The 14924-nt window shown below is 36.2% G+C and overlaps 1 protein-coding gene across 1 annotated transcript in view; it reads right to left on the reverse strand.

Moving 5' to 3' along the window:
- Positions 1-743: 743 nt before the first annotated feature.
- The window catches only part of C12orf42 (chromosome 12 open reading frame 42), a 516167-nt gene continuing 501986 nt past the window's right edge, over positions 744-14924 (reverse strand). The window contains exons 11-12 of the transcript XR_001748690.2: positions 1386-1446; positions 744-985 (exon numbers count right to left, since the gene is read on the reverse strand). The gene's annotated coding sequence lies outside the window, so the exon portion shown is untranslated. The remainder of the gene's footprint in view (positions 986-1385; positions 1447-14924) is intronic.

The raw sequence follows: 14924 nt of genomic DNA on the forward strand, positions 1-14924 counted from the left end.
TTCCTACTGAGCAACCATCTTAAGAGAAAAAGATTTTTTTTTCTAGAAATAACATGTTATACAATATAAATAGTCATCCCTTTGTATCCACAGAAGACTGGTTCCAGGACCCCCAGTGGATACCAAAATTGGCAGATGGTCAAGTCCCTAATATAAAATAGTGTCATATTTGCATATAACCTATGTACATCCTCCTGTATACTTTAAGTCATCTCTGGATTATTTATAACACCTAATACAATGCAAATTTCATGTAAATATTTGTTATGCTATGTTGTTTATTTGTATTGTCTTTATTGTTGAATTGCTATCTTTTCTTATTTTTGAACATTTTTGATCCACAGTGGGTTGAATCTGTAGATGTGCAACATGCAGATATAGAGGTTGACTGTATACATTTTTTATTTTTCAATTAAATAATTAATTAAAAAAGAGAAATTGTCCTTGCTCCAATCACCTCCCATCTGCCCAGATCTAAAAAAGAAAAACTTCCTCCATTTCCTTACAGCATGTTTAGAAAATTTATAATAGGTTCTCCGAGAAATATTTTAAGCAGATGAAATGCTGAGCAGCTGCAGGGACCTAAAGGAAGTATAAACCCATTTGCTGATTTTTTACAAAATTTAGATTTAGCAATGTTCAGGCTTTGGGAAAATGGAGTGGAAAGACCATTGACGGTGGCAATAAAAGAATAAAATGAGGGAACTTCATTAGCTGTTGTTACTAGCAAACCACCTCAATACTTAGAGGCTTAAAACAACCATTTATTTGGTTTCTGGGCCTCGGGTTTGATGGGGCAGTTCTCCTGACCTAGGCCAGGCCTGGCTGATCTTGGTTGGGCTTATTTATGGCTGACATCAGCTTTGGGCCAGCTGTGGGCTGGCTCATCTAGAATGGTTTCAGCTGGGGTGGCTCATCTTCATTCCCATGGTCTGTAATCCAGAAGACCAGCCCAGTTTGTTCACATGGCAGCAGGGCAGGATTCCTAGAAAGAGTAGACACGGTAAGGTTTCTTTGAGGCTCAGGCTTAGAAATGGCGTAATGTCACTTTTGCCATATTGTCATGGCCAGAGTAAATCACGAGGCCAGCCCAGATTCAAAGGCTCCATCTTACCAGGAGGAGCTATAAAGTCACATTACAAAGGAGCCTTTTACCAGGAGGGAAATAACTAGGGCAATTTTTACAAACAATCTACCAGTCATTTACTGAAGTGACTGACTAGGATGTGCAGGAAGGCAAAGGAGGGGAAATGAGGCCTTGTAAACGGAGATGAGGCCGTGAGAATGGAAAGGGGGCCAACAGCAAGATAGGGAAAGGAATGGGGGAAGGAGGGGAATAGTTCATTAGAATAATAAAGTAGGGGGCAGAGAATAAAACTACTCACCTCTAACGGCAATCATGATGTAGTTGAAGGAATTAACCCCTCTAGAATTTAATTTCTTCACCTATAAAATAGGAATAATAACATCTGGATTACAAGGTGGTTGTGAGATTGTAAATACAATGCATAAAAGATTTAGCCTACATGGGGGGATTCAACACCCTCCCCCATATATGCAACCCCATCCACGCATGCACATATTATAATTACACGTGTGGAACGTCTGACCAAGAGTCAAAACCTGGGGCATGATCTCAGATCTGATTTTTATAATCTAGTAAGTCTGAGCAAATCACTTAAATCTCTGAACTTCAGTCTTATCATCTGTTGAATGGGGATAATAATAACAACCTCAAAATAAGTCTCCTGAGGAGTTCAAGAAAGGAACCAAAGAGCTCTCTGTGTGCTCCGGAGAAGAGCTTAGCCTTGACCTTTAACCCAGTATGAGCAGAAATAAAATAAAGGTCCCAGGATTCCACATGCTTCTGGATTCGCCTTGTAGCCTCCCCACTTCTTTTAGTCTTAAGAAAATCAGGATTAATTATATTGCGCCCTTATCCCTCATTCTCAGTTCTCACAAGAAGCCCAGAAATCTCAGGATATGCCTCTTCCCTCAGCCTCCCATTTCATATGGCTCTGCACATATTCTTCTCACTAACCTTCTTTATCCCTCAAGTCACAATGGCCACCTATCCAGTGCTCAGTCACCCATGTGACTAGTGGCTACCATACTGCACAGGATAGGTTTCGTCCTTGCACCTCTAACTCATTCTCCTGATGATTTCATCCATTCCCATGGCTTTAAATGCAATTTCTGTGTTAATAAATCCAAAACATATATCTATGGCTCAGACCTCTTAGCTACACTCCAGTAGCCATTACCTCCTTAACATATCCATTTGAATGTGTGAAAGCCATCTCAAAGTCAACATGTCCACAACAAAAATCGTGTGCCTTCCTTCCAAATCCGCTCCTCTCATGATCTTTGCCATTTCAGTGAACAACAAGCTCATTATTTTAATTGATCAGGTCACAAATCTTGGAGTGATGTTTGAATCTTCTTTTCCTCTTAAACGCCACTGCTGATCCATCAGCAAGTCCTCTTGATTCTGTCTTCAAAACGCATCTGAATTTGTACATTCACATCTCCAACACAGCCCTCCTAGTCCAAGCTAGCGTCATCTTTCACCTGGATTAAGGTGATGGCCTCCTAATTATTCTCTCCCCTTCTGTCCTTGCCCCATACTTCTGTTCTCATCACAGCAATCAGCGTGTTCCTGTTTAAATGTAAGACAGTCTTACCATTCCTCTGCTCAAAAATCTCCCAACGTTTTCTCTTCTTTTTCAGAATAAAAGTCAAAATCCTCTCAATGGCCTTTGATAAACTATATTTTCATTTTTTACTACTCTTTCCCTTGTTCACTCTCTTTTAGTCACAGTGCCTCTTTGCTGACCCTGGGACACACAAGTCTCACTTCTACCTCATTGCCTTTGCACGTGCTGTTTCCTCTGACCAGAATGCCTTTCCCCTAGGTAATCTGCTTAGATGGTTTCCTGGTGTCCTTCAGTTCTATGCTCAGATGTCACCTTCTCAGCAAGTCCTTCCCCAACCACCCTGGTTAAAACAGCTCCCACCCTCTACCCCAGTATCCTCTACCTCCTTCTCTGTTTTATTTGTGTCTAAAGCACTCCTTCCATTGGATGCTCCATGTATTTATTTACTTGGTTGGTTGGTTGTTATCTGTTGCCCCCCGCTAAGCAATGAACTACATCAGAGGAGAGACTTTGGTTATTTTGTTTCCTGAGGTATTCCTTGAGCTTAGAACAGTGCCTGGCACAGAGTAGCCCATCAGTGAAACTTTGTTGAGTGAATAAGCAAAACAATGACTACCACAAGTTTAGCACTGTGCCTGGCACACAGCAGGTGTTTAATAAATGTTATTTTCTTTTCTCACAGGTGTGTGTGTGTGTGTGTGTGTGTGTGTGTGTGTATCAAATGGTATATTGAATAAGGCACGATATATTGCTATAAAATGCTACACAGTTTTAAATCACTACTACCTGTATTACTGCATTTACCATAGTGCCTTGTACTTAGCCCATATGAATTTTGAGCAGAGATTTAGATAGGATCGCTGCAGGAAACAGACACTGGGACAGACACAGCTTGCTCTAACAGTGAAGCATCTAGATGCTTCTTATCTGTTGTAGGCTAGACATCCAGATGACCAAGTAATTATAATCATGTTTAATGCAAGAGTAAATGTTCTTATTGTGTTCTCGTGGCTTTATATAAGAGATAAATCCTATACAGAGTAGCCATATGGTACAACCAGCAGAGTCACCTAATGTCATTTCGTGCCAGGACAAGCAGCCCTAGACTCTTCACCTGCTCAGAGCAACCATTGCAGAGACCCAGATAACCAAAACTTAGCCATTAACAAAAGGCTAGAGGTCCTGGTATACTAGATATTATGGCAGGGATATATATTTTAGGGAACTTTACATACCAAACAATTAAAAATTTATAAAAACAGTTTTTGAAGCTTAGAAGAGCCAGCTTCAAACCTCTAGGTAATTAATTTATGTGAATTTTTTCAGCTTTCAAAAATACTTTTCAAATATGAAGGGCTTAAAAATTGTTCTGTTTGTTTTACAATTACCTTCCTCCTTACGCAGCTTTCTTTCCTATACGACAATCAACAATTCTGTGTACATTCCTAAACGGCCCATTTACTATTTTTATAGGGCACTTAATGAGTTTCCTTCAGAGATTTGAAAAGAACAATTTTCTGGAAAGAAGATAAAACTAAAAGTGTTCTGTAATGATCAGTGATGGGATGAGGTAAGCAAATCTTAAGAAAATCATAATTTAAAAAATCCCAGCAAATTTATGCTAAAAGAGGCCAGATAACCATCAAATGACTAATAAGGTATAAGTTAGACCTCAACTGTGCTTCTAGTTCTAGTTGAACCATGCTTCAGCCATCAACTGAGGAAGTGGTCATTAGATTATGCATTTCTTAGAAGCACAAGCACCTCTCTCTTCGGTTATATTAGAGTTCAGGACTTAGAAGGAGAGTATATAAGCCTTAAGAGGATAAGGACCAACATTTCTTTTTTTTGCTGTTTAGCCCAGAGCACGAGGAGGCCCTGGAGAGATTATCTCTGGAGAGGTAATGACAACCATCATGGTAATCTGTCCCCAGAAATCTGGAAATACATTGCTGGTTTTACTTTTCTGAACTCCCTAGGGCCTAACTATTGTCACATAAAATGTAAATATTCTTCTTTTAGGGATATCTTTGTTTAAACACCAAAGGAGAGCAGCCAAAACCAATTATAAAAAGCCATCCGCATTTATGTGAATAGGCCAGCTTCCTGACCATGGGTGTCAGACCAGGTCATCCAGGAATCCATGAGCAGGGTTTTGGGGAGTGTAAGCCCTTGAACCCACTTGTTTCTGCCCCTCTGAGACCTTGCTCCATCAGTCTGCTTCCTACTATTGTGCCACTCAGTCTCTGCCAGTCTGTCTTGCTCCTTCTCCTCAGCCTAGGGACATACTCAAGTCTCTTTCATCCTGAGCAAACCCAGTTCTTTCTCTCCTGTTTCTTTGTCTTCCTCCCACTTATTACACTATGACAAAACATGGTTCTAATTTTGCCTATTTCTAAACTTCATTAAATGAAATGAGATAGTATAAATTCTTCCATAACAGTCTTCTTGTCCTCACTATTTGGTACATGACATTTAGCATGTTGTTTTGTGTAGCAATAGTTGTTTATTTCTTTGCTGTCTAATATTGTTCATTAATATTTAACAGTTTCTTTATTTTACTATTGGTAGACTTGCTTCCAATTGTAAATTATTAAAAATAATGCTGCCTTGAACATTTTCTGTGTCTTTTTCTGTATATATGTATACATTTTTGTTGGCTGTGTATCCAGGAGTGAATTTACTAAGTCACAGGATACACAGATAACCAGGTTTATAGATGCTGCCAAATGACTTTTTGAAGTGGCTTTAAAAATGTATATTGTCATCAGCAGTTTATGATAGTACAGGTGACTCAAATTCTCACCAATTCTTGGTATTTTAATGTTTTATTTTAAACATTCTAAAGGAAGTATAGTGGTTTTAGTTTGCATTTCTCTGATAACTAGTGATGTTTAATAGCTTTGTATATTTTATTACCCATTTAGGATCCCCTTTTTTTAGGAGCTTTTTGAAAGTATTTATTCATGATTTATTCAATTGTCTGGATTTTTTATTCTGATTCAAAGGAGTTATTTATATATTCTGGATATAAACATTTTATCAAATATTTATATTGCAAACTTCTTTACGTGTGACTTTTTTCACTTTCATAATGATGCTTTATGACGAATAGAAGTTCTTCATTTTTATTAACTATAATTTTTATTTTGTAGTTAGTGCTGTTATATCCTATTTAAAATGTTTGTGTACCCCAAGCTCATGAAGATATATTCCTGTGATATCATCCAGAGCGTTACTATTTTACCTTTTACACTTAGATCTATGAACTATTTGGAATTGATTTGTTGTGTGTGGTTTGAAATAGGGGGTCAATATTTTTTCCATATGGATAATCAGTTGAAACATTACCGAACATTGAAAAGACAATTCTTCCCTAACTTTATTAAAGTGGCAACTTTGTGATGAATTCAGTAGGCTTTTATGAGAACATCTATTTATAGACTCTATCCCCTTTATCTTCGGTCACTTATTTGCCGATGCCACAATATCTTAGTTACTTTAACTTTATAATATGTCTGAAATTCTGAAGTTTAGGTTCCCTCACTGTGATGTTATTCTACAAGATTATCATGACAAATCTTTGCCCTTTGCATATCCATATACTTTGTTTTTAAATTTTATATTTAATTTTATTTTAATTTTGAGATAATTGTGTATTTGCATGCAATTGTAAGAGACACTACAGAAAGATTCTGTGGAACTTTTATGCAGTTTTCCCCAGTGATAACATCTTAAATATTATTGCACAATATCACAAACAGGATATTGACATTAAAACTCACTGTGGCTTTAATTTGTGTTTCCTTAATTACTGAACATCTTTTCATGGGCTTATTTGCCAATTATATAACCTCTTATATAAATAAAATGTCTGTTCATATCTTTTGCCTATTTTAAAACTGGATTGTTTTCTTTCTTAATGTTGGATTTGAGAGTTCTTCACATATTCTAGATACTAGTCCTTTCTCAAATACATGGTTTACAAATATTTTCTCCTGGTCTGTAGTTTAAGTTTTATCCTCTTTACAGGATCTTTCTAAAAGCAAATGTTTTTAGCTTTGATGTGGTCTGAATTATCACTTTTTAAAAAACTGAATTGTGTTTGCGATGTTAATCTAAAAACTCCACCAAGTCTCAAATCCTGAAGATTTTCTCCTACTTTTTTTTAAAGAGAAGTTTTGTATTTCTACAGTTTTCATTTAAGTCCATGATCTGTTTTAAGTTAAATTTTGTACAAGATGTGAGACTTAGATTGATTTTTACGATGGCCTGTGAACGTCCACTTGCTCTAGTACCTTTTGCTGAAAAGGCTATCTTTTCTCCATCCAGTCTCTTTTTCACTTTGTCAAAATCAGTGAGGCATATTTTTGTGGGTCTATTTATTGTTTTCAAAATTTTTATTTCATTGATTTATGTGCCTTTCCCTCTAATACCACACAGTTTGATTACTGCACCTATGTAATGCCTTCCAATCCAAAAGACTGATTCCTTCCACTTTGTTCTTTCCAAAATCATTTTAGTTAATTCAGTTTATTTGCCTTTCCATATAAATTTTAGAATAATCTTGTCTAGATATATAAGAAATCTTACTGGGATTTTGATAGTGATTGCATTGAACCTATAAATCAATTTGGGAAGCACTGACATCTTCACAATGTTAAGTCTTTCAATCCATGATCATGGTATATAGTTTATTTAGATTTTCTTTGATTTCTTTGGTCAGCATCTTGTAATTTTCAGCATATAAGTACTATACATGTTTTATTTGATTCATCCTTAAGTATTTCAATATTTTGAGTGATTATAAATGATGTTATATTTTTAATTTTGGTTTCCACATATTCATTGCTAGCATATAGGAATACTATTGATAATTTAATGCTTATTTTATATCCTGCAACCTTGCTGAACTCCCTTATTAGTTCTAAGAGGCTTTTTTTTGCACATTGCTCAAAATTTTCCATGTAGACAATCATGTCACCTGTAAATAGGGACTGTTACATGTTTTTTCACTTCTGATTTGGCTTCCCTTTTCTTGCTTCATTGTACTGATTAGAACTTTCAGCACTATATTGAACAAGAGTGGTGAAAGCAGGTATCTTTGCCTTGTTCCCAATATTAAGGGGAATATATTCACCAATTTAGCATCAAGTATTAAGTAGTGGTAGGTTTTTCTGTAGATGTTCTTTATCAAGTTGAGGAAGTCCCTCTCTATTCCTATCTTTCTGAGAGTTTTTATTATAAATAGCATCGGATTTTATCAAAAGCCTTTCTACACGATTGATATGACCATGTGATATTTTTCATTAGCCTGTTAATAATTTGGGGTTATACTGCTTGATTTTCAAATATTGAACCAGCCTTGCATCTCTAGAATAAACCTCACTTGGTCATAGTGTGTCATTCTCTTTATGTATTACTACTATTTGTTTATATTTTCTTGAAGATTTTTGCGTCTATATTCATAAGGGCTATTGGTCTATAGTTTTCTTCTTTTGTACAGGCTTTTTTCTGGTTTTGACATTTGGATAATACTCCTTAAAATGAGTTAGAAAAGCATTCCTTTCTCTTCTATTTTCTGGAAGAAGTTCTATAAAATTGATGTTAATCCTTGTTTAAACATTTGACAGAATTCTCCAGTGAAATCATCTGTGCCTAGAGATTTCTTTTTTGGGAGTTTCAACATTATAAAATAAGTTGTCTTAATAATTATAGGGCTATACAAATGATTTTATATTGAGTTGTGAGTAGTTTGTGATTTTTGAGGAATAGGTCCATTTCATCTAAATTGTGAAATTTATGTGTGTAGAGTTCTTCATAGTTATCTTTGTTATCCTTTTGATGTCTGAAGGGTCTGTGATAATATCCCATTTCATTCCTAATATTGGTAATTTTTGTCTTCTCTCTCATTTTGTCAGTCTTACTTGAGGTTTGTCAATTTTATTATCTTCCAAAGAACCAGCTCTTTGTTTCATTCATTTTTCTATATTGCTTTTCTGTGTTTTACCTAATTGATTTCTGCAATTATCTTTATTATTTCTTCCCTTCTGTTGCTTTTGGCTTATCTTGCTCTTCTTTCTATAGATTCTTTAGGATGACTTTATTAGTTTGAAATGTTTCCTCTTTTCTAATGTATGAATTCAGTACCATTGATGTCCTATTTAACACTATTTTAGCTGTGTCTCACAAATTTTGACATACTGTATTTTCAATTTCATTTGGTTAAATGTATTTTTAAATTCTTCTTGAGACTTCTTCTTTGACCGATGCAATATTTAGAAGTGTATTGTTTAGTTCCCAAGTGTTTAGAGATTTTTTCTGTCATTGATTTCCAGTTTAATTCCACCATAGTTAGAGAAAATATTTTGTATGATTTCAACTTTTCTGAATTGGTTGAGATTTGTTTTATGACCCATGATATAGTCTATTTTGGTATAGATCCTTCAGGCACTAAAAAGCATCTGTATTCTGTTTGTTGGGTGGAGTGTTCTATACATAGCGATTAGATTTTTTTGGTGAAGGTTTTGTTGAGTTCTTCTATACACTTGCTAATTTTCTGTCTAGTTGTTCCATCAATTGTTGAGAGGAGTATGTCGAAAGTCTCAAATACTAATTGTGGATTGGTATATTTTTCCTTTTACTTTTATCAGATTTTGCTGCTCAAATTTTGCAGCTCTGTTATTTGGTGCCTACATATTTAGGCTTGCTATGCCATCTTTACTTTATCACTTGAAAAATATTGTGCTAGTTTTGGCCTCTGGGGTTTCTGATGAGAAATGTGGTACTCACATCATTTTCTCCCTAGAGGTGCCATTTCTCTCTCACTGTATTCAAGATTTTTTCTTTGCCTCTAGTTTTTAGAAGTTTGACTATAATGTGCCTTGGTGTAGATTTCTTAAGATTTATCTTGTTTAGATTATGTTTGGTTCTGTAGGTTTATGTCTTGTGACAAATTCTGAAAGTTCTCAGCCATCATTTCTTTGCATATTTTCAGCTCTATCTTCTTTTTCCTCTCCTTCCATGACTCTGAAGACATGAATATTAGATTTTTTGTTATAGTCCCATAGGCTCCTGAAGCTCTGTTTATGTGTTTATTTATTGAGTTTGTTTATCCTGTCTGTTCTGATTGAGTGTTTTTTATTGTTTTATCTTCCAGATCACTGATCCTTTTTTCTATTCCCTTAATTATTTTGTTGGACACATCCGTTGAGTTTTTCAAAAGTTTATTTATTATATTGTGTAGCTCTAAAATTTCCATTTGGTTTTTCCATATACTTTCTATTTCCTTGGTGAGACTCCCTATTTCTTTTCTGTGAGTTTCTATTTTTCTGCTAAGATTTTTTATTTATTTTGTTTGCTTAAAGCACGTTCATAATTGCTTGTTGAAGCATTTTAAAGATGGCTGCTTTTAAATTGTTTTCAACTAATTCTAACATCTCTATCATCTTGGTTAGCATCTAGTGATTGTCATTTTCCCTTCACTTTGAGGTCCTCATGGTTGGTGGTAAATAACCTAATTTTTAATTGAAAGCTGAATATTTCATGCATTGTGTTCTGAGACTCTGCACTCATGTAAACCTTTGGTTTTAGCTGTTTTTTTCTGACACTGTGCTGACAAGGGAAGGGGAGAACAGCACATCTTTTTTTTTTTTTTTAATTTTACTTTAAGTTCAGGGATACATGTGCAGAATGTGCATGTTTGTTACATAGCTATACGTGTGCCATGGTGGTTTGCTGCACCTATCAACCCATCATCTAGGTTTTAAGCCCCACATGCATTAGTTATTTGTCCTAATGCTCTCCCTCCCGTTGCCCCCCAACTCCCAACAGGCCCTGGTGTGTGTTGTTCCACTCCCTGTGTCCATGTACTTTCATTTTTTAACTCCCACTTATGAGTGAAAACATCCAGTATTTGGTTTTCTATTCCTATATTACTTTGCTGAGAATGATGGCTTCCGGCTTCATCCATGTCTCTGCAAAGGACATGATCTCATTCTTTTTTGTGGCTGCATAGTATTTCATGGTGTATATTTGCCACATTTTCTTTATCTAGTCTATCATTGATGGGCATTTGGGTTGGTTCCAAGTCTTTGCTATTGTAAATAGTGCTGCAATAAACATACATGTGCATGTGTCTTTATAGTAGAATGATTTATAATCCTTTAGGTATATACCCAGTAATAGGATTGCTGGGTCAAATGGTATTTCTGATTCTAGATCCTTGAGGAATCACCACACCATCTTCTACAATGGTTGACTAATCTACACTGTCACCAACAGTGTAAAAGCATTCCCACTTCTCCATAGCATTGCCAGCATCCATTGTTTCTTGACTTTTTATAATCACCATTCTGACTAGCAGGAAATGGTACCTCATTGTAGTTTTGATTTGTATTTCTCTAATGATCAGTGATAATGAGCTTTTTTTTTTTTTTTGACAGAGTCTCACTCTGTTATCAGGCTGCAGTGCAGTGGCATGATCTCACCTCCCTCTAACCTCTGCCTCCCTTGTTCAAGCTATTCTCCTGCCTCAGCCTCCTGAGTAGCTGGGACTACAGGCACGTGCCACCAGGCCAAGCTAATTTTTGTATTTTTAGGTAGAGATGGGGTGTCACCATGTTGGCCAGAATGGTCTTGATCTCTTGACCTCGTGATCCACCCGCCTTGGCCTCCTGAAGTGCTGGGATTACAGGCATGAGCCACCTTGCCCGGCCGATGAGCTTTTTTTCATGTTTGTTGGCTGCATAAATGTCTTCCTTTGCCCACTTTTTAATGGGGTTGTTTGTTTTTTTCTTGTAAATTTGTTTAAATTCCTTGTAGATTTTGAATATTAGACCTATGTCAGATGGATAGCTTGCAAAAATTTTCTCCCATTCTGTAGGTTGTCTGTTCACTCTGATGCAAGGATATTCAGGACTTGAACTCAGCTCTGGATCAAGTGGACCAAATAGAAATCTACAGAACTCTCCACCACAAATCAACAGAATATACATTCTTCTCAGTGCCACATGGCACTTATTGTAAAATCGACCACATAATTGGAAGTAAAACACTCCTCAGCAAATTCAAAAGAACAGAAATTATAACAGTCTCTCAGACCACGGTGCAATCAAATAAGAACTCAGGGTCAAGAAACTCACTCAAACTGCACAACTACATGGAAACTGAGCAACCTGCTCCTGAATGACTACTGGGTAAATAACGAAATTAAGGCAGAAACCAAGAAGTTCTTTGAAACCAAAGAGAACAAAAAGACAAGGTACCAGAATCTCTTGGACACGGCTAAAGCAGTGTTAAGAGAGAAATTTATAGCACTAAGTTCCCATATCAGAAAGTGTGAAAGATCTCAAATTGACACCCTAACATCACAATTAAAAGAACTAGAGAAACAAGAGCAAACTCAAAAGCTAGCAGAAGACAAGAAATAACTAAGATCAGAGCAGAACTGAAGGAGATAGAGACATGAAAAACCCTTCAAAAAATCAGTGAGTCCAGGAGCTTGTTCTTTGAAAAAATTAACAAAGTAGATAGACCACTAACTAGACTAATAAAGAAGAAAAGAGAGAAGAATCAAATAAACACAATAAAAATGATAAAGGGGATATCACCACTGATCCCACAAAAATGCAAACTACTATCAGAGAATACTGTAAACACCTTTATGCAAATAAACTAGAAAAATTTAGAAGAATTGGATAAATTCCTGGACACATACACTCTCCCAAGACTGAACCAGGAAGAAGTCGAATCCCTGAATAGACCAATAACAAGTCCTGAAACTGAGGCAGTAATTAATAGTCTACCAACCAATAAAAGCCCAGGACCAGATGGATTCACAGCTGATTTCTAACAGAGGTAAAAAGAGGAGCTGGTACCATTCCTTCTGAAGCTATTCCAAATAATAAAAAAAGAGGAACTCCTCTCTAACTCATTTTATGAGGGTAGTATCATCCTGATACCAAAACCTGGCAGGCACACAACGAAAAAAGAAAACTTCAGGCCAATGTCCCTGATGAAAATCGGTGTGAAAATCTTCAGGAAAATACTGGCAAACTGAATCCAGCAGCATATCAAAAAGCTATCCACCATGATCAAGTCAGCTTCATCCCAAGGATGCAAGGCTGGTTCAACATATGCAAATCAATAAATGTAATCCGTCACATAAATAGAACCAATGTCAAAAACCAATGTCAAGGATTATCTCAGTAAATGCAGAAAGGCCTTTGATAAAATTTAACATCCCTTCATGTTAAAAACTCTCAATAAACTAGATACTGATGGAACATATCTCAAAATAGTAAGAACTATTTGTGACAAACCCATAGCCAATGTCATACTGAATGGGCAAAAGCTGGAAGCATGCCCTTTGAAAACCGGCACAAGACAACGATGCCGTCTCTCACCACTCCTGTTCAACATAGTATTGGAAGTTCTGGCCAGGGCAATCAAGCAAGAGAAAGAAATAAAGCATTTTCAAATAGGAAGAGAGGAAGCCACATTGTCTCTGTTTGCAGAAGACATGATTCTATATATAGAATACCCCATCATCTCAGCCCCAAAACTGCTTAGGCTGATAAACAACTTCAGCAAAGTCTCAGGATACAAAATCAATGTGCAAAAATCACAAGCATTCCTGTACACCAACAATAGACAGAGAGCCAAATCATGAGTGAACTCCTATTCACAATTGCTACAAAGAGAATAAGATACCTAGGAATACAACTTACAAGGGACATGAAGGACCTCTTTAAGGAGAATTACAAAACTGCTCAAGGAAATAAGAGAGGACAAAAACAAATGAAAAAACATTCCATGCTCATGGATAGGAAGAATCAATATCGTGAAAATGGCCATACTGTCCAAAGTAATTTATAGATTCAATGCTATTCCCATTAAGCTACCATTAACTTTCTTCACAGAATTAGAAAAAACTACTTTAAATTTCATATGGAACTAAAAAAGAGCTCATGCAGCCAAGAGAATCCTAAGCAAAAAGAACAAAGATGGAGGCATCATGCTACCTGACTTCCAACTATACTACAAGGCTACAGTAACCAAAACAGCATGGTGCTGTTACCAAAACAGATATATAGACCAATGGAACAGAACAGAGACCTCAGAAAAACACTGCATATCTACAACCATCTGGTCTTCCACAAACCAACAAAAACAAGCAATGGGGAAAGGTTTCCATATTTAATAAATGGTGCTGGGAAAACTGGCTAGCCATATGCAGAAAACTGAAACTGGACCCCTTCTTTACACCTGATACAAAAATTAACTCAAGGTGGACTAAGACTTAAATGTAAAACCCAAAACCATAAAAACCCCAGAAAAAAACCTATGCAATACTATTCAGAACATAGGCTTGGGCAAAGACTTCATGACTAAAACACCAAAAGCAATTGCAACAAAAGCCAAAATTGACAAATGGGATCTAATTAAATTAAGGATCTGGCACAGCAAGAGAACAGCACTTCTTTACTGATGGGTGGAATAGCAGTCCACGTTTCCTGCTCATTCTCTGTTAATGCTTGAGGGGGATGCTTCTGGTTCCTCTCAGGTGGGATTGGGAGTTTGGGTCCCATTAGGCCTCTATTGATACCTTTTTGGTTGGTGGAGGTAGGAGTGTCTCATTACTGCTTCTCACATTGCCTCCATCTACACCATAGGCAGAGGTACCCCTTTAGTGCTGGGTGGTGTTGAAAGTCTTAACTTCCCATTGGTCTTCTTCGACATTTCCCATTTAGGGAGGTGGTATGACTCCTCATCACTAGGTTAGGATGGGTATAGGAAAGTAATGTTTATTCTGTTGATGGATATAATGTTCTATACATGTCAATTAGGTCAAAGTGGTTCACTGTGTTGTTTCCATCTTTAATATCCTTAAGGACTTTTTTTTTCTCCTTGCTTTATCATTATTAAATAAAGTATGTTAGTATCCCATCATGATTTTTTTTTCTATTTCTCTGTTGGCTTCTGTTTAATTTTGCTTTATGATCATTTTTAAACTATTTACTTGGTATGTATAAATTTAGAATTGTTTTATATAAGTGGCAGACTGGCCCTTTTATTAATACAAAGTATTTTTCTTAATCTTTAATAATTTTTTTGTTATAAAGTATTTCTTTGATATTGGTATAGCTATATCAGCTTTCTTTGGTTAGTGTTTACATATATGTCTTTTTCCTTCTTTTTAATCTCAAGTGACATTATATCAAAGAGGTATCTCTTATAAGGCACACACAGTTGTGTTTTTACCTG

This window comes from Homo sapiens, chromosome 12, assembly GCF_000001405.40.
Source record: "Homo sapiens chromosome 12, GRCh38.p14 Primary Assembly".
In the NCBI taxonomy this organism is placed as follows: Eukaryota; Metazoa; Chordata; class Mammalia; order Primates; family Hominidae; genus Homo; species Homo sapiens.